The sequence below is a fragment of the Homo sapiens genome, chromosome 12 (genome assembly GCF_000001405.40).
Source record: "Homo sapiens chromosome 12, GRCh38.p14 Primary Assembly".
NCBI classification, from domain to species: domain Eukaryota; kingdom Metazoa; phylum Chordata; class Mammalia; order Primates; family Hominidae; genus Homo; species Homo sapiens.
The window spans coordinates 21,332,708-21,354,035 of record NC_000012.12 but is presented as its reverse complement, the minus strand read 5'-3'; the positions used below and the strand labels follow the sequence as shown (position 1 = coordinate 21,354,035).

General features: G+C 35.1%; 1 protein-coding gene across 15 annotated transcripts in view, besides 1 other annotated feature; it reads left to right on the top strand.

Moving 5' to 3' along the window:
- The window catches only part of SLCO1A2 (solute carrier organic anion transporter family member 1A2), a 155,035-nt gene that overhangs the window by 65,599 nt on the left and 68,108 nt on the right, over positions 1 to 21,328 (top strand). For 4 of the 15 annotated variants that reach the window (NM_001386939.1, NM_001386880.1, NM_001386887.1 and 1 more), the window contains exons 1-2: positions 19,119 to 19,209; positions 19,332 to 19,448. Coding sequence is in view for 10 of the 15 variants with exons in the window: in NM_001386880.1 (NP_001373809.1) it covers positions 19,389 to 19,448 (60 nt within the window). In the remaining 5 variants the exon portion in view is untranslated. Of the gene's footprint in view, positions 1 to 19,118; positions 19,449 to 21,328 lie in introns of those variants that run through there. The other 11 variants (NM_001386878.1, XM_024449138.2, NM_134431.5 and 8 more) reach the window with 4 other exon arrangements.
- Positions 14,624 to 15,130: an enhancer, noted in NCBI's record as "NANOG hESC enhancer chr12:21491840-21492346 (GRCh37/hg19 assembly coordinates)". NCBI's record gives its function as "activates a minimal SCP1, AML or CMV promoter by ChIP-STARR-seq in naive H9 embryonic stem cells {active_cell/tissue: H9 hESC(naive)}" and the evidence as "EXISTENCE:reporter gene assay evidence [ECO:0000049][PMID:30033119]".

Genomic DNA, 21,328 nt, shown 5'->3' with positions numbered 1-21,328 from the left:
GTGAGCATTTGAGTGTTTAGAGAGGTTAAGTAACTTTTTCAAATTCATGTTCGAAAGTGGTAAGCAGGAGAATCTAACCTCCATTTGTCACACACCAAAGCTGCCACACTGCTGGGAGAGTTATAAAGAAGTTAAAAAATTACTTACTGTAAGAAATATTGAAGTTCTAGGGAAGGTAAATTAGGGAAATTTAAGTTTCAATTTTCACTGGCAAATAGCTGTGAATGACCACTTGAGAATAGCCATTAGCCTGGCTTTCTCCTCTCTACTGACTTGTCAGCAATGTCCCTTTCATCACCTGAAGCAGTATCCACACAGATCTGCAACTGCTTGGCCCTGCTGCCTGGTCCCTTTCATGCTGACAGCATTGGAAACAGGGATTGGACCAAGCTTCTGGGAAAAAAACCAAGTTGTCCACAGGAGATTTTCACATGTGAGCTAAACCAAAAGGGAGAACAAACGGGATATAATCAGGTGCATCACAGCAATCTGCTATCTCCTACCAAAGCCACTGAGCTTTGCCTTTTTGTTTCTTTTCTTTTCTTTCTTTCTTTTTTTTTTTTCTGAGCACCATCCCAAAAATAAAGAAAGAGGCTACGAACCTTCCATATAGTAGAAGTCTTAGGATTAAGCATTTTTTCCCTCTATGCAATATTACTGTTCATGTTGGTTCAGAAGATCTTTAGCTCTTTGAAACTCTGTTTTTATATATTTTGTTTTGCTCCATATTTAGGAACATTTTAAAAATACTATTACTTTCTGTTGTTTATGTTTGAATTGTATTGCAATTTGATCTCCTGCTAAGTAACTTCCAACTTAAGTAGATATGATAAAATTAACAGGCTCCAAATATTTATTTCTCTTAGTTATAAATTCTTGGTAATGAATACTGTGTTTGATTAAAATTATAATAGGGGTTTTAAGCAGTAATGTGTATAGTCAAAGGAATTCTGATTCGAATTTGAATGTTTAAACAGACCTTATAATTATTTAAGGGGGAATATTCTGTTATTTTGTTGTAGCACTGCTCAGAGAGGTAGCATATAATTAAAGTTGAAATCTAACTATTTTATAACCACTGTTCGAAAGTTTAATAACTTGTGCCAAAAGTGTCTTTGAAGATCAGTGGTTTCACTTTAAATGTAAATTGAGTGGGACAAACTGGCCAAGCTTACTGAGATATTTTTGCATACACCTTATGTACTTCCCCCAGTTCCTACAAGAACAATCAACCAAACAATGAACTAAACAAACATGTAAAGCAACAAGGAAAAAACATTTTTTAGTTTAATGTTTCAGCATAAATGGATTGAAGATATTTCTCGCATTATGCTTTTGGCTGTGGATGGAAGAGCCAACACTTGTGTATTCTGAACAAATATTTTGAGTTTCAGAGGCCCAGAGCAACAAAGTTTTGTCTATAAACAACAGATGACAGGTATTAATTAATAAAGAGTGTGTTCATATGTAGGCAGCCTTGACGGACTCTTGATTCATGGCTGGTATTTTCAGACACAACCACACATAGCTGTAGTAGCACTATTAATAGGAAGATTCAAATAAATGTTCAATTAGAGGATTCCTCGATCAGATGATCTTATTGAAATCAGGTGAAGGGAGGAACTATGGTAATAAGCCAGTTACTGCAAAAATAGAATGAGATTAATTGAGATTTTACAGACACTATGACATTGGAGTTGTAAGACTAAAGCCCTATAGGGCTTTTAATGGCTCAAACCTCATAGAATTTTGTCTAACTGCTGCCGTCCACCTGTCCTAGTTTTTCCTCTCTTCGCATTTCCAGAGATCAGTTCAGTTTAGGGGATGTTGGTCTGTAGTGAAATGCTTGGTGAGATCCAATTCTAACCTTTCAACCTATGAAATAAAATAGTAGACCTTTTGAGTGAGTATGGGGGTGATGCAATTGGGTGTTTGATATTTTCCATGAGAGTATGAGACCCTGGAGGCATCTTGAATTCCTTTCAATCTGTCCTTCAGATTTTATTCCGAGATTTCGTTTATGCCACACACTGTTAACCTTCTTTGAAATTCAGGAAAAGTCCTCCTAAGGGCAATTTCAAAGTCAATCTAAACTGGGACCCAAAGGATTAGGGGATGTTGGTGAGCTTGTGTAGTATTTATCTGACCTCAGATATTTAGAAACGTAACAAAGCCTGGTCTTGGCACACTGTATATTCCCTTCAATAATGGTCTATTCCTAAACTTTCATTTTTATTTTTATGATTTTTTTTTTTTTGAGACGGAATTTTGCTCTTGTTGCCCAGGCTGGAGTGCAATGGCGTGATCTCGGCTCACTGCAACCTCTGCCTCCTGGGTTCAAGAGATTCTCCTGCCTCAGCCTCCTGAGTCACTGGGATTACAGGCGCCCACCACCATGCCCGGCTAATTTTTTGTATTTTTTAGTAGAGATGGAGTTTCACCATTTTGGCCAGGCTTGTCTCGAACTCCTGACCTCAGGTGATCCACCCGCCTTGGCCTCCCAAAGTGTTGGGATTACAGGCACAAGCCACTGCGCCTGTCCTAAAATTTTACTAGTAGTATTTATAAGTATTATAAGGCATCTAAAAAAAATGCAAGGCACCAAATGTATGATGCTCCTGGAGGTAATTTGAACTTTCTTGAGCTGCATGGAGATTTTTCTTTAACAGGTCTGTTTAGGAATATGTTGCAGGTGGACTATAGACCACACTTGGAGAAACTGCACTAGTAAAACAGGACAACTGACTTGTTTTTTATTCCAAGCAAACATTGAACTTTGTGACCTCCATGCTTGTACCTCTCAGGTTACAAAACACATTTTGCCATGTCACGTATTTGTCTATATTTCTTATCTATTGGCTTCCAAGCTGCTAACTTCTTATTTACTCAGTGCCTCCCCATAGTGCCTTGTACACATTTAGGCACCATGTTATTACAGTGTGATGGTTAAGAGCCAGGGCTTTAGAGACTGACAAACTGGGTTGGAATACAGGCTGTGTTGTTGCTGTGAGCAAATTAATATATCTGAATCTCTAGTTCCTCATTTATAACACTAAGTAACAAGAGATTTTAAGTTACGCAGTATATGCTTATTAAAAAAACCCAGAAATATATGTAAGAAAACTATTAAAATAAAAATCAATCTAATTTCACCTCCCAGAGAAACATGACTTTTTTTTTTTTTTTTTTTTTTTTTTTTTGAGACAGAGTCTTGCTCTGTCACCAGGCTGGAGTACAGTGGCACCATCTCGGCTCACTACAACCCCTGCCTCCTGGGTTCAAGTGATTCCCCTGCCTCGGCCTTCTGAGTAGCTGGGACTACAGGTGCGTGCCACCACGCCCGGCTAATTTTTTTTGTATTTTAGTAGAGACGGGGTTTCACCATGTTGGCCAGGATGGTCTCGATCTTCTGACCTCATGATCCACCCGCCTCGGCCTCCCAAAGTGCTGGGATTACAGGCGTGAGCCACTGTGCCCGGCCTGAAACATTACTTTTTAATTTGTATTTATTTGCATGTCAATTTAAAGTAATGTGCCATTCAGATCATTTTTGTGTGTGCCTTTTTTTAAAGAACATGCTATGAATACTTTTCCATATTAATAATGTTTTACCTTGTAACTTTAAATAACCATATTTTATTCTTATTGTATTTGTATAAAATAATTCCATAATATTGGACATTTAATTTTTTCTCTCTTTTTTTTTGTACTTTACTAAAACAAAGCTGTGGTGAATATTCCTTTGTACAATCTCTTGTCAATTTTTTTCTTGTTATTCTAAAAAGAATAACTTAAGACTTTATAGTCTTAAGACTATATACATAAGTCTTAAGACTATATACATTTTTAAAGATTTTATGCTTACTACTTAATTGCCATTGAAATATTTATACTTTCATCATCAGTGAATGAAAGATCTCTACCAATGTTACCTATCATAATAAAGAACACTTTGACAATTTGATAATTGGAAAACGGCAACTAATTTGTATTTCAAAATTTATTTTTAATTCAGCAAATACTAATATGCATCTCCTCTGTTCCAGTCACTGAATGTTGGGAAGGGGAAGTGATTGAGAGGTGAGCAAGGCAGATCAAGTTTCTACTTTGATGGAACTTAAAGTCTAACAACTTTAAACAAGTAGCAATTAAAGGGGTGATGATAAGGAGCATTTAAGGTTATGTTCCAGGTTCAGGGTGTTAGATTAAGCCTCCTAAAGTGGCACTTACAGATGAATTGAAGTTAGCCAAGGTGGGAAAGGAGGGCAATGCAGGGAGGCACAGAAGTAAAATCTTTCTGGACTGGCCGATGCTGGAGAAACAGAAGAAAACAGTTTGGTTAGTGCGTGGAGTATAACAGAATGATTCAAAATGAAGTTTGAGAGGTAGTTAGGGGTCAGATCCCATAAGGCCTTGGAAGGTATGTTAAGATTGAGGACTTCATTTTGAGGGTTAGATGTTTCATTTTAAGAAGATAATTCTGATTGAAGTTTGAGAATTGAGTACAAGAGAGCAAGGATACGTATGGGGAGCCCAGATGGAAGGCAACAGTGTGGCCCACAACGGCTTGCAGTGTATGTTATTCAGAACTCCTTGGTTGCAAGTGATAGAAATTTAACTCAAGCCAGCTTGAGGAAAATGGAGAATTTGTTGATTCTTATAACCAAAACATGAAAAGTAGAAGTTTCATCTGGGCCTCTCAGCAGAATAGAAACCCAGGACTCCAATGCTCTTAAGAGTCTCTATCTTTCCCCCTCCCCAACTTTCCTGTTCTCTTCTCTTATTCATCTTTTTTCTATCCTTCTCTTTATATCTCAAGCTAATTATCTCAGACTGACTTCCTCCACATGGCTGAAAACAAGGCCAGAGGTGACTCTTGTAATACAAATATTATTGCCTCACCATCTGGAAAGGGACAGATCTTCTCTCCTCCCCTTTTAAAAAATAGATCTTAATTTTTACAGGAATTTTAGGTTTACATCAAATAGACTGGAGTACACAGATTTCCCATATGCCTCCTACCCCCACAGCTGTATATACTCCTCCATTAACATACTCTACCAGAGTAGTACATTTGTTGTGACTGGTGAACCCACACTGACCCATCATTACCACCCGAAGGCCGTAGTTTACATAAGTTGTTCATTTTGGTGTTGTATAGTCTGTGGGTTTGGACAAATGTATAATGACATGTGCCCGCTATTGTATTATTCAGAGTAGCTGCACTGCCCTAAAAATCCCCTGTGCTCCATGGAAGATAGTATGACTATTAATAACAAATGGCTGAATTGAATAGATATTAAATTTAAATGATAAAGATGTCTTCTGGCTTTGATTCCTTGTGGTTGATAAATGGCTCAAAGTGCAATGGAAAATGAGGGTGAGGATGATACAGAATGTGGTGTTATAGAAGCCAAGGGAAGAGAACCCTTTTTAAAAAAGGGAGTAAAAAAAGAATGAGATCCAGTCATTTGCAACATGAATGGAACTGAAGATTATTATGTTAAGTGAAATAAGCCTGTCACAGAATGGCAAACATCACATATTCTTCCACTTATTTGTGGGATCTAAAAATCGAAACAGTAGAACTCATGGACATAGATAGTAGAAGGATGGTTACCAGAGGCTGTTAAGTGTCATGGGGGGCTGTGAGGGAGAGGTGAGGATGGTTAATGGTTACAAAAATAGACAGAATGAATAAGATCCACTATTTGATAGTACAACAGGGTGACTATAGTCAAAAATGACTTAACCATACATTTTAAAATAACTTAAAGAGTGTAACTGGATGGTTTGCAACTCAATGGTTAAATGCTTGAGGGGATGGATACCCCATTCTTCATGATGTGCTTATTTTAGGTTACATGCCTGTACCCCTTCTCATGTACCCCATAAACATATACCTACTATGTACTCACAAAAATGTTTTAAAAAAGGGAATGGTCCTTATTGTCCACTATTGCTAAAATATGGAAAAAGAGAAAGACTAAAAGGTGGATGTTGAATTTAGCAACACTAAAGTTCATTGGACTTCCTGATGAAGAAAGCATAGCACAATGGTTTGGCTGGAAGTCACAGGGGTTGAGTAATGAGATGAAGAATTAAAGATGGCAATTACAGGCATTTCTATTAAAAGTTCTTTGAAGTTTATTATTTTAAAATACATTAATTGGTTTGCTATTTATTCTTTGTAAATCTGTTTCTATTTTTTGTCCATATTTCCATTGGTGGTATCTTTTACTTTTTGACATATAAGTGCTATTTATATAATGCTATTAAATTTGTTCTATATGATTCAGTTTTCCCCAGCTTCCCTCTTCCTTCCTTTTTTCCTTCTTCCTTCCTTCCTTCCTTCCTTCCTTCCTTTCTTTCTTTCTTCTTTCCTTCTTTCCAGAGTTGGAATTGCTCTTTCACCCAGGCTGCAGTGCAGTGGCACGATATCCGCTCACTGCAACCTCCGCCTCCTGGGTTCAAGAAATTCTCCTGTCTCAGCCTCTGAGTAGCTGGGATTACAGACGTGCGCCACCATGCCTGGCTAATTTTTGTATTTTTAGTAGAGAGGGGGTTTCACCATGTTGGCTAGGCTGGTCTTGAACTCCTGACCTCAGGTGATCCACCCCCTTTGGCGTCCCAAAGTGCTGGGATTACAGGCATAAGCCACCGCACCTGGCCCCCAGATTCTTAATTTACTATTAATAGACTTTATTTTCTTGGTTGTTGTTTCTCTAAATTTTAACTTTTTGATATAGGCATTCTGCCTCTGGTTTTGTGTTTAGAAAGGCTTATAAATAGGCCTCCATCATAGCCTATAAATAGTTACAACATTTTTGTCCAGAACTTTTTTGGAATTTCCTTTGGGGTATGGAAGGAAGTAGAAATTTAATTTTTTTTCTAATTTTTTCTCAGCAAGTTTTCTTTAAAGTTGTTTCACTTTAAACAATAAGTTTCTTTTTAATTCAACTTATCAAAAGAATGACTCCTCTATATGTTAAAACACACTTCATCTTACAAAACAATGCAGTCTTGACAGATGGGCTATAAATAGTGGCTTTTTTTTTTTTTGGATGTTTGAAACAAATCCGAACATAGACTCAGTCATGTTACTAAGAGCTTTCACAAGGAGTGAAGGAAATGTTCTTCTTTATGTAGGTGGATTTTCATTGGAAATTACTGTTAAATACAAATGAGCCTACTATTAATGGCACCAATGGTGTATGTATGGCTTGTAATTCATCTTGTTTCCAAATGAAGTACATGGGAAGTGTGAGTGTTACTTTTATGGGGGAGTAGAGCAGACAGTCTCAGTTATGTCTGCAAATTCAAGATATGTAGTATCTGATGATGTTGGAGGTTGGGTCACACAACATGTCAAACTCCAATCAAAGGAAAATTACTTGGGAATCTGTAACTTGGTACTTATCATTGCTGGGAAGGTGGCTATGCCAGGGGCTTTTGCTGAAGCAAGAACAAAAGTCATTTTCCTAGTCATTGTTCCACATATGTTTTTTTTTTTTGCTAACATATCTTCTAAAAATAAAGTCACATAGTTCACAATTATGGCTTGATTTGAACTGTACACGCTACCAATGGACATTTTTCTGAACACAAAAATCCATCATGGATCTGTATCCCGTGCTCAGTAAAAATATATCCGTGTTTGCTCTTCAGCACAGCTCTCTCACCGACAGTTCTGCAGAAGTGGGTGAGTTCTTCGAAGATCAAGACACTGAAAGCCACCTCTGGAATAGTGAATTAAGTAAATTTACTAGTTTACCAAGAATATTGTTTTACGGATTAATCTGCATAATCATATTGAGTGATTTTGTATATGGCTTCTCTTAAACATACGTTATTTACTATATTAAATGAGTATGGTTTTTTTCTTGAATATATTTAATAATCTACTGAAGAACATATTCAGCATGAATATATTCTTCATAAATGCATTCTTCCTAATTGTAGTGTTTAGAGTATATTTTTCACATATAAGAATATATTCATTAATTTATTCTTCTTGATTATGTTTGTAGAACTGCTTTATTGGAACATGCTCTTTATTAACATATTTATACTCGACTATATTAAGATATATACATGTTATATATTCTATATATTTGTTAACAATATTCACAAAAAAGCAATAAGCCTAGGATCCAGCTTCTGGCAAACTGAACATTATTTAAAATGTATTTAATGAGAATGTGTATATTTAAAAATAATATTTCTTATACTAAATTTTAGTAAATTTGCAAATTTGGTGAATTTGGCAAGTTTGTCACTTGGTGAATTGATGCTGTTACTGACCTCGGGTTTAATTCTGTTATCAATTTACTTACTTAAGAAAGCATAATTTGTGATTGTTTTTCAAGACTTAAAATGGAAAAAATACATTTTTGTTTCATAGCTTTCATTCAGCCGTTTCAACTTGGCTTCTATGATGATGTAATAAAAACCAATTTAAAATCAATTATAATTTTCAACAAGATACTGTAATCCTATTCCTAGAACTGATAATGATTTGATTTTTTAGGATTAGTTATTTATCTAAGATGAATGAGCAGAGTTACTGTCTTTGCCCAAAGGAAAAACAAAAGATGTAACCCTGCATGCCAACGAACCCATCACTCTTTCTCTGGTTCTAACATTTTAGAATAGCCTGGACCATTCTTAGTTCAAGACTACTTTGCTTACATCATAAGAATTGAGTCACAGATTTATAATGATTTACTGTTTCTACTGCAAGGAGAAAGCAGATTCCATCTGAACATGCTACTTTCACATGTATTTAGCCCTTATTTTCTGAGATTTACAGAAGAATGAACTGAATTTGCACCATAAACGTCAGAAGTGTAAAAAAAATCTGCAATTTTACTTAGCAAAACCAAGCAGGAAACAAAAAGAGATCAAAATCAAAACAAAGCCCTCCAATGCTTGAAGATTAAAAATTAACCAGCTTCTTTTATTGTGTTATTATGGCTTTTAGTATTTTTATGATAACGAAAAGTAACATTTACCCACCCTTTCTTATGGAGTTTATATGAATAAACTCCTTGGGTTTATATAAATATGGAATAGGAGATTTTGGGGAAAGAACCTTTATTATTAACAGTGATTTTATCAAGAAAAGGTAGAAGCAATATTGCAATTAGTTATTTAAGAAATAGGGCTAGGATTTACTAACATTTGAGTTCAATGTAAAGAAAAAAACCCATTCTAAATCTAAAATCCCAAACTGTTACCTTTTCTTTTTTTAAAATCTCATTTGTCTGTAACTTGATGAATCAAATGCATTGTTAACATTGAATAGAGCAGGACTTTAATTCATATGTTTCCTTTATCTTGTCTTTCTCTTATGCATATAATTTTCTGCTGCATTCATTCAGATAAGAAATTCACAGCATTATATGAAGAGTCCTAAAACGTCTCCCAGACTACATATATGTGCCTCTTTGGCTTCAAGTGTGCTAAAATTTCTAACATGTGAGCCAGTCTCCTTAATTAAAAAACTAACAAAAGGCCCCTATTAAAATATATATCTAACTGGGAGGGGCATATCAAATTCAAAAGTAAGAAGGGGTAATTTATTGTTATGAATTTATTAATTGGATTAGCTTTCTGGCAACTAGAATAGAACCAAGGTATGGAACACTATGGAAAGTGAGTCAGGTGAACTACTGTAACTTAGGCCTCCATGAAGCCGAGTATCAGAAACATAGGTTTCTGGTATGATGGATTAAGGAGAGAGGGCTCTTCCTTGGATTATATTGTCTCTCAGCTTCTTATTATGCTAAAATTTTATGATTCTGTCATTGTAGAAGTTCCCGAAAGGCAGGAAATATAGTTTTTTAATAGATACAACTGATAGCTCATAAAGTTGCTTAATGTACCTGTAACATCAATGCTACATGCAAATGGTCACTCAGTAAACAAGATTTATCTAATTTTTGAAGATTCATGAATTCACTTATGAAAGTTCAAGTTTTTACCGCTCATCAGTAATTTTATCATATTTAAAGGACACTATTTATCAGGCAAAAGGAATATGTTGGACCCATATGATTCCTTTGCTTTTCTTCAGCCATTAATAGGCATTCTTCATACTTTCTGCATAACAACTGGTCTTGAGGGTAGACACAGTAAGTGTCCATCTAGTGGGTGTGATTTGAAAGGTATTGCAAAATTTTGTTCTGCTCTGCCCTATTTCCATTCCAATGCAAATGTCCATTATTAACATTTTCCCTTTGCATGAGGTAAGCTAGGGGAGAGTCTTCTCCTGTGTTTTATAAACATACATATTTTTTTTTCTGGAAAGGAGGATGAGGATTAGTTATCCCTTAATCAGAATGTTCTTTGGTTAGCTGATGTCATGCTGAAAAGTAGCAAAATGAGGTACTCAAGGGATATCTAAGATAAGAAATAGATGTTCACAAATCCTGCAATAAGCAATTTGTGGTGATAAGGCAAACATTCAATCTTGATGAATGGAAGACAACTACCTACTAAGAACAGCCCACTTGCATTTAACCTTGAAGTTGTCTTAGAAAGCTGTAAGAAGTTACACTTGAGAAGCAAGAAAGAAGGTCCTGCAAGAAAAAAGGGGCCAATTTTGTACATGAAGAGCCAGATGAATATAAGCAATAAGAACAAACATTTATTGATCACCTACTGCGTACAAGACCTTGCCATGAGTGCTATATGTGAAGAGATATTAAGTCTCATTTGTAATTAGTTCTCAGCACAAGTAGAAATGATCATAGGACTGGGAATATTTAGTTCTGAAAATGTTCTAAGGAGATGTCAGAGAAAATGGGCAACCATGTCTCCATGGCCCAAGAAAATATGAACCTAATGGCATGACAAGTTTGTATCTACAGAGTCCCAAAGCAACAGGTCAATTAAGTAAGTCTCTCTCCCTGCCTTTCCACATCTGGTGCCACAGTCCTCTGCTAAACTGAAGATTCCAAAATGTGTAACTCTAGCCTTTTGCCTGAGCTTCAGACTCATGTCCTACTGCCCACAGGACATACCCACCTGGATGTGACGCACAGGTCATGTCAGCGTAAGTATGAGCGTATGTTCATGTTGAAATTGAGTGTACTTTTCCCCCTAGAGCTGCTCTCTGTCCTAATTTTTTATCGCAAGTACTGGTACTATCAAGCTAGAAACCTAGGAATCATCTTTGATACTTCCTCCTCCTCTTTCATCCCATATATTCAGTAATCACCAAAGATGTTAGTTACAAATATTAATTAATTCTCAAAAAAGGTTTTATTTTTTATGAATAGATGATTCTATCTAAAATGTTTAATTTTAGATCGATATGCTTGTAGATAATTATAAAATTTACTTATTTATTACATTTGGTAATATTAAACATGAAGACAATATTCTTTGTCTTATATATCGTGCTATTTAATTTGTGACATACACCCCTTATGTTAAATTAATGTTGAGAGAAAAAGCGTGGCCTGTTAAGAAATAAATTTATAGATGACATTATGTCATATTTGTAGATTGGAGTTTACTATATGTTTTAATTTGTTAAAATAAGAGGAAGCTGATTTTTTATGTTTGGAATTTTTATACTTAAAATATTTTAAAAGTGTAATATATTAATACACTTGTTTAATAATGTTGGAGTTTAAAATGGAAGAAATAAGAGTAGGTTTTGTATAAGCATATTTCTCTAAATATGAAAAGCCTGCTTATGTAAAATTCTCCATCCTATTACTCTTTTTTCAAAAATAGGTCTTGAAGCAGTGGAAAAATAACATGAGGTAGTAGGTAAATATTTTGAATAGGTGAATGAAATTTACTGATCAGATGAAGGCAATCTTGAGAGAAATGTATAACATTATCATTTTATGCTCCTCATTAGGTTATATTTTGAGACCAGTGCTCTTTATGCTTCCTGCCTTTAGCCATGGTCCATTAGAGGTAGAAATAAAACAGCATATAACCACAAATATAGATCATTTAAAATTGTCTAATGATCCAAACCACCATGCTGACAAACGGTATTCAGCTGAGTGGCAAAGGGAAGGATAGGTGAGTCATATGCACATGCTCATCGATTAATCCTCATCCCATGCCTCATTTATACATACACAGAGCTCCAAACTGTTCCCTTTACATGATTTAAATCATCATTTTATTTACTCGTCCCAAAGTAGAAATCTGAATGGACACTATCCCGACCTTGAACCATTTTATACATACATAGAGCTCCAAACTGTTTCCTTTATATGATTTAAATGATTATTGGCTCGTCCCAAAGTAGAAATCTGAATGGATACTATCCTGACCTTGAACTACATGCAGCCAGTTTGAGAAGTTCTGGGAATCAACGCTGGATGCGTCCTAGCTCTAACTAATATTTCGTGACTCCAGTCAGGAACATTATGGCTGCCTCAGGCCAGTTTTCTAAATTACACTCTAAGTAATAAAAAAAGGCAGAAAAATTGGAGACTGACAGAGGTTCTTGGACAACACAAAATACAATAATTAGAGAAACAAGAAAACATACCAAAACCTGAAGTAGTCAAGAACACAGCATTAACATGGATCAAAGTGTTCTATATTCTTATTACATTTTTAAAGAATCAATTCCAATGATTTTTAATGACTTTTTAATTGGTGAAAACATAATGATCCTTGTGGAAAACAGCATAGAAATTCCTAAAGGAAAAATAAAATCAACCACAGGATTATCCACTTTCTGGATAACTATAGATTATACAGAAATAACCACTTTTAAAATTCTGGTTTAGGTCCTCCAGTGTTTTATCTAAATGAATACATCAATAGGCATACCCACACCCACACACACCTGTGGAGAGGTAGCTTAGGGTAGTTACGATTCTCTAGGGCCAGACTTCCTGAGTCTGAATCCTGGCTCTGCCACTTATAAGGTGTGTGACTTTGTACAAGTTACTTGACCTCTCTGTGCTTTAATTTTTACATCTTTAAAGTTGGGAATAATACTTATGTCATAAGATTTTAGGAGAATTAAATGGGTTGATATCTGCAATGCCCCTAGAACAGTGCTTGGAATATGGAAAGCAGTATATATTGTTTATATTTTTATTATTATCTCTAATTGTATATAGTTTTACAAAAAGCAACATCACATTGTATGTTATATTAAAGCTTGTGTCTTTCCAACTTGGTGCTAGCCCTTTAGCTGCCTCTTCATCCTTTTCTTATATGTTGGGGTCTTTGAAAGTGCTTAGTAAATACCACCTTTCTTTCTCCATCTTAATTGTAAATCATTTTAAACCCGAGACAGACAAGTATTGCACGTGGAGTCCAAAGTGTCAATTTTACCACTAGGCAAGCTCATAGTAGGAAATGTGGCTTAAATTAGAGGATCCAATGGCAAGTGGATTTCCTCATAGTGAAACTCCAAATAGAAGGACTTTCCATGTGGTCACTGGATTACGTCAGTGTTACCCACATGAGTGACTGGGGTATGGAGAGGAAAGGCGTGCTGTGCTAATGGAGCTAAATATATGCGGAGGCAAATACTAAAAATGAGAAACAATATTAATCTTTTCCTTTTCTCTTTTTCTTCTTCCAACGTGGAAACATTTTACTATTCATTTTTATATGCCTTACAAAATTATGTACTGTTTGTAATCTGGCTGCTGAAGCATTGGTAACAAAGCAATGGTAACAAATACGGTGTATGTATCATCAAGTCAGTCCTTGGACATTTTCCCCACACACATAACCTAAATAAGCAAACTGTATATATTTTGCTATGTGAAGACTTGGTGACTATGACTGTGTTTACATGATGCAACAGTGATTAGTTAATGTATGCAGGTTGGTTAAAAATCAGTTGATTTGACAACAACATTTTGTTTTATTTGGTATGACATAGAAATTGCAATGCCTGCATATGTAAAGTGGGGAGCTGACCAATTATGCACATTGTAAATCTCCTGAATTTTTTTCTTACTGAGAATCAGAAGAGCATTGAGGACTGAAATTATGTTGTTAAATATGAATAGCGACCCTTCATTCAATGTTGATTGCATGCTAATTTTATATTATATGTTTATATACCATACATCTTTCATCTAACTCTATTGCAATGATTATGGTTGTGTTGGTCATTTGTTTATCTGGCCTCACACCCATTCTCTCCTATCCTCTGATCCTCTCTGTATCCCAAGAGAATAACTCCTGCAAACTAAGTTTTCCACTCCAATGCCACCTGACTTCCTTTTATGTATGTCAGTGGGAAGTACTGGTGTGAGACTGGGGTTGTGGAGAAGGGGAAAGCAAGGTATTTCTGCCTCTCACAGCTTCCTGCATGTCAGCCCTTCCCTTTTCTGATATAGCCTTTGGAGTGGGAGTGACTTTCCACTGCTGTAAATCTCTGAGTTGCCCACAATCCCACAATTTTTTTTAGCTCTTCTTATATCATTATAACTAGTTTTCCATATAATATCCCTCTATTAAATTATCTATTATGAGTTCTATTTTCCTATCAGGACCTTGACAAAGATAGAGACTGTCTTCATTTTGTAGAAATATTAAGTAACTTGTACAAAAACACACGGCTAGTTTAAAAACAGGCTTTCAAACCAGTTGTACCTAATTTCAAAGCCCAAGTATTTGAACTACTATGCTGCAATCAAGTGATCGTTCAAATGAATACCCAAATGAATAGTTTTCATTAATCACCTCTTTCTATTACTTAGCTCAAATTGTCTGCATTATGGCACTAACTAGCTATCATCATCACTTAACTATCTATCTCTCCCAATTGTTTATAAGGTCACTTGAGAGCAGGCACATTTTATTCATCTTTGTATCCCCAGTACCTACTACTGTGCTTGGAATGTAGTGGATTCTTAATAAATATTTGTAGAATAAATGAGTAGTAATCACTGTCATTGACAGAGTGACTATTTTATTTCAGCAGCCCTGCAAGGAGTCTTATGTAAATTTTATAACTCAATCTTCATGACAATCTTGCAAAGTAGTCATAAATATTTCAATATCAGAGATGAGGAATAGGCTCAAAGAGTTTAAACAGCTCACAATTAATCTGCTATTAATGCTAGGCTAAGTGGATTACAAGGTCTGCTATTTTGACTATGTCTAGCTGCCTCCCTACATAAATTTATGTGAAAAATACATAAATAAATGTGTTGGAAAAAACTCAAATCATTTTATTGAATTTTCAGGTTTTTTTTTGAGCCTTATAAACAGATAAAGTCTTGTCTCTATGAGAAAAAGGAGCAGCTCAGTGTTTACATGCCATATATTGGCACGTAATGGAAATACATATGTTTGTACTTACCTAGTCTACGCAGATAAAAGGAAAATAAGAATTGGGATAATAATCTGAAGAAATGACATAGTTGATATTGCTGCCAAACTAAAATCAGAGCTGGACAGTAAAGTGGTAAAAGATTTCATTAAGGGACTACTGCGATAGGAGAAAAGAGACCTCAGTGTAGTACTGGGCTCAATTCCGAATATAGCTTGGACAGATGGAGATTTTTAGCCAAGCAGCAGGGTGGGGGCCAGGGGATGGAAAATTACTAAGAGGAAACATCGGGAGTAAGGAGGGATTGTGGCTAAACCAATGTGACAGGATTTTTACTGACTGAAGGCCAGGATGATCAGATATCGCCTGGGGGGTTCCGGGGGATGTAGAATTTGATCAACTATCAAGATGATCAGATATCAAGAGTGAGGGATTCTCTCCAAACAGACTTAGCAAGATTCTCACTACAATTAGGCAGTAGAGGGTTGGACACCAAGACTGAGGCCTAGAGCACATAGAGGAGTCAGAACTAGACTTAGGTAAAGGAGTTCATCCTGTTATCAAGTGTGGAAAATGCTGGTTAGCCACATGATTATCTACTCATTCTCTAGAATTACTTGGTATGGTGTGTGACATTGATGATATTTACAACCAATTCCCCTAAACACAGAATTCAGGTTTCAACTTTACTTTTCTGTTGCTTGGTCTATTATCTAGAGTTAGTACATTATCTAAAGTGATAGGGTAGGTATTTTTACTGATGGATTGTTGATGAAAGTGTTTACTTGTGTTTTTGTGAGTTCCAGTCTTTGCTTTGCATGGTGAAATCACATGTATGGATAACATTTTATGGCTCAGTTAAGTTTCTGCCATAGTTTTTCCAAGCAATACATTCTTAGTACCTCCTCTGAATCTAGAAAGTAAAATAATACTTATATTTATAAGACTGAATTGCAGAATTTATTATTTTATTCTTTAGTTTCTGGTGAAAATGAACCAATAGAAGTAAAATAATTTGGTAGACAAAATACAAAAAGCCATTGTTGATTCTACATGTAATTCATTGGCACATACTTGCTTGGATTAGTATTGGTTGAAATTGTTTCAGCTGGATACCACCCAAGAGGCTGTTCTTGTCTCACAGAGCTAGGAGCCATTTCAAGATCCTGGAAATAAGTGATTTTCATAAGATTTTTGCTAGTGTAAATTTTTTTTTTCCCTAGGGAAAGGATGATCTCCTAAGTCTTCTTCATGTATGTACTACTAGCTTTGCTGTAAAGTAAGGCCTTTATTTCATTAATTTGAGAGTAGAGAATAATGTAAAATTAAACACAAGCATTTTTTCCCAGTTGATTTCTAACAATCACAAACTATATTAATTTGTTTAATACTGCAAGAGCACAAACAAGATTTGTTTTATATTTGTTTCATAAAACTTTGTATTATTGTTTTATAAAACTTTGTATTATCTTGTGATTGAGACACATCATTAGGGGCTGGAAGCCAACAGGTGTCAAAAGCCCCAGTGTTGCTGTTCAATGGATATAGAATTACAGTCATGCAAGATGAACAAGTTCCAGAGATCTACTACATAACAATGTGTATATAGTTAACAATTCTGTACTGTGCACTTAAAAATGTAAGAGAGTAGAGTTCCTCTTATTTGTGTGTTTTTTAAAATCCCAATCAAACAGAAAAACAACACAACACAGAGCTATGACCAGCAGGCATGGAAGAAATCCAACGTTTGTGTGAGAAAGCATACTGAAGCATTACCTGTTCCCATTTGAATGCTGAGAAAGAGTTAGGGAAATAACATGATTCTCCACTTAATAAAACTTCAGCATGTCTTTTTCATTAGAAGTGATGATTGACAGGGATTTGTTGGTGACACTGTGTGGTCCTGGGAGCAGAAGTCACTGTGTAAACAACACTGTGCTAACAAAAGAGGACTGTTCACATGGCTGGCACTAGCACAGCCTCGAGAAGATGAAAAGACGGCACACGGAATTTCCTGATTTGGGGCCAAGATGGACAACAATGACTATGATATTAACCGTTGGATTTTATGGATTTTTATTGAATAAATGGAATAGATTTTGTTAATTTGTTTATTTTCCTCCATGAAGATGTTTGAAATGTATCTGAAAATATAAAATATTTTCATCATATAAGTTGGAAAACTAGGGAAAGTTTAGGGTTAATTTAATCCCATGTAATTCTTTTCAAGTGCTTAGCCTTAAATATTACCTCTTACTTCAGTTAAGATAATAGTTTTTTAACCCCTTTTTTCAATATGTTAAAACATTTTGAAGCAAATCTTCCAGACATAGTGAAAAAACCTGCTCTAGATGGTTACTTAGTGTCACAATTCATGGAGGGAACTATATAGAATTCCCCTATATGGTGATTTTCTGTGGCACTACCTCCAGCTTTTATGCCCTCTGGCTATATATGAAAAAATAGACATTTAATATAGTAATGTTTTTAGCCACAAAGAAGAGTGAAGGCAATTTTGACGTGGGAGAAGAATAAGTTCTCTCCCTTAGTGTTTGATACGGTGACTATATTGGGCTAAGATAATGGTTAGGAGAGAGAGAAGAGAAAAGGGGAGAGAGATTGGGTTCTAAATGCACGAGAAGAAAGAAATGAGGGCAGTTCAGAACAATAACCTGTGAATTTTTTCACCACTTACATACCAAGCAAATTGCATTTCCTTCTACACTGTCTGGTTCTATTCCAATGTGTTTTATTTAAAAGTTTTATCTTTCCCAATGAAAGTTTAAGTTCCTTGGAATCTGGGTCCAAGTATCTTCCACAGAAACATACTTCTCTCGCTAGTTTATACTCTCTGTAGGCACGTACTTGGCTTTCTTGCTCACTGCTGAATGCTGGTGCGTAGCACCATGACTGGCACAGAGTAGATGTTCAATAAGTATTTGTTGTATCTGTGAGAGAATGTGTTAAAATAACAAAACTCAAACATAATAGTGCAGCGACTATGCCTTGATGTGTGTGTGTTTGGGATTCAGCACATTTGTAGAGGTAAAGCAGTTGGTTTTTTAAAAAATTAGTGCCATTCAGGATCACTTGTTAAATGGATATTGTTTAAAGGACTTAATTAATTAATGCTGGGGATACTGTTAAGAAATCATTCTAGAAACTAGAATAAATATTGCCAAAGTGAAACACTTTGGTTTTGATACAAATTATTGCCTTAGTTTCAAGATGTAAAACAAACAAAATCTTTGATGGGATTAGTAGAATTTATTTGAGTTTAATTCAACTTTTTGTTTTACATATAAAAATGTGTGCCTGTATGTTATACATCTGTACATATATTTCCACATATATCTATACCTATTACGTATAGCTACATATAGATACCCATTTATATGTTTAATCTCCTAAGTCTTACATCTTAGTTTGCAATCGTGGGATTATTTTCCAGATCATAGAATTGTTTGTTATTTTTACTAGGTTGTTTTCATGATTAAAATTCCGTGTCTCCCCAGGTTTCCATGTATCAGCAGTGCCCCAGAAAGTGTTTCCCTTCCTGAGACTCTAGGGAAGCCTTGGAATGCAAATAACTTGAAAAGAGAGCCTGGCCAAAAAAAGATTTTTGAGCCTTGGTAGGGTTAGTGAAGCAGGTTTTTAGTACAAACACAACTCAAAGTATGTGTGTTATTAAAAGTAGCTATTTTCATGGAAGTCTTTTGGTACTATTTGTTTTGGCTAGAGAAGTGAAAAGCTTTCTTTTAACCATGTGACCATTATTTTGCAAGATCATAACAAACAATTCTAATATCTTTAATCTCACTAAAGAGTCACTAAAGTTATTTGATGTACCTTTTGAAATAGAAAACCAACAACTAAATCTTCTCTAACACCATGATTTTCTAATCTGTATTAAAGCGTTCCAGGTATTTTTGTAATGCAATGGATTTCAATTATGTTGTTCATTTTCAGCACTTACTTCAAAAGAATGATGCTTTACAATTTTGTAGTTAATTTAACATATTTTTTTGTTTGCTTGAAAGGGTAGAAGTAAGACATATCAAGATTTAAAACATAAATAGCTTGGAACACCCTGAAGAGCAACATGGGAGAAACTGAGAAAAGAATTGAAACCCATAGAATAAGATGTCTTTCCAAGTTGAAGGTATGGAATTTTTGTATGTGGATATATGTGCATGTACACTAGTTTTTAAAATACGACAGTCCTGGTAAAATTGCTCCTATCTGCATGAAGTGATCTAATATTAATGCCATATTGCCTGTTCTATTGATAATTTCTTGCTTTAAAGAAGTTGGTTTTATAACTGAGGGTGTGTCTACACAGGATTATTGATTCAGGCAAGTTAGTCCTAAATGGCTTTGAGAGACTTAAATGGAAGACAGGATCCTAAAAATTTCCAGGCACACATACTGTGGCAGGATTTATTTTTCTGGATCAAAGGCCATGCTCACTCTTGCAGGGTTTCTAACCCAGAGAAATGTGGGAGTCACTCTCCGAAAATGGCTCATTGCACAGAAATGCTTTGTTGATTTGTATGCAATTACCCAGCAAAACAAATGTTTTCTTTAAGCTTTGGCAACATAACAATAATTTCCTGTAAGAAAAATGGCCATTTTGTCAGCTGTTCTGATTTTTTTTTCTATTTCAGAGAAAATTCTGTTTTCTAGCTTCAAAGTCATTTATATTCAAACAAATTTGAATTTATGATAAACCAAGGGATCTGGACATTTGTCCTGATTCTATAGCTAGTGCCTGCAAGTGGTTTCAAAACTAAGACACTGTCACTCATTTTCTCCCTATCAGAAGTTTGTTTTCCATTTATATGTGTGTTGGGGAAATTTAAACATGTATACAAAATTGGAGAATTATGATATAAATCTAAAAAAAATAGACTTGCCTGAAATGGTATGTTAATTAAGAAAAACTTTTTGTGCTTCAGTTTTCTCATCTGAAAAGGGTAATAGCAACATTCCCACCTTATAGGATTCTTTTATGTTTGAAACAATGACTGGAATATTGTAAACTTTCAATAAATATTAGCTATTAATATTAAAAGCATTTGTGGAGAAAAGTCAAGTGGTATTTATAAACAAGAGGTCTTTAATTTTTGATTGCTTTGGAGTTTAGCAAGGTTAGATATTAATGTGGATGTTAAGACAAAATGCTGTAAGCACAAGTTTATCAGGTAAAAGTGAGAGGCAATTGCTTAATAGCAAGTTAGGTTTCTCTGTTTCTCTGAACTTAGAAATATACTCATTAAGCAAAATTCATTAGGAAGCATGAAAGAACTATTTTTAACAAATTTGCTTTAAACTTTGTTGTTGAAATAAGTTGAAAGGGCATTATTGCTAGAAGCTAGTAGGACCAGCTTTATAAATACAGAGATTATTTAGCACTAGACATGAGTCAGAATAGCCACTGATTTCTTTCACTCTGCGAATAAAACCAAACTAGTTAGGCAACCCATGTGTTTTAGGGGAAAAGCAATGAGGTCATGATCCATCTAATTTCTTTTCTTAACATGTAAAGTAGAATAAATTATTTTTCCAAATTTGATTTGTACTTGATTTAGTAGGACTTGCTTTTAAATATAAAATCTGATTTATAAAACTAGGTGAAAATAGTTTGCTCTTAAGAATACACTCTGAGAAGGTTTATAGTGGGAAGAGAGAATATCCACAAATGGTATTCAATATAAAAAATAGCTAGAGATATGGCCATACTATGCTGTAGTCAATCAGTTTTGATTCATATTAAGAATGCTATTCAAATTTCTAGGTCCTTTTCACATAAATTTCTATTTAGGTCTCACAAAAATAATTGATAAATTTTGGCTTAGATGTATTGTGTGGTGTGAATGTGTCCCATCCAAATTCCCATGTTGAAATCCTAATTTCTAAGGTGATGGCAGTAGGAAGTGGGGCCTTCGAGAGGTGATTAGGTCACAAAGGTAAAGCCTTTATGAATGGGTTCAGTGGCTTTATAATAGAGGACTAAGAGAGATTCACTGCATTTTCTGCCAT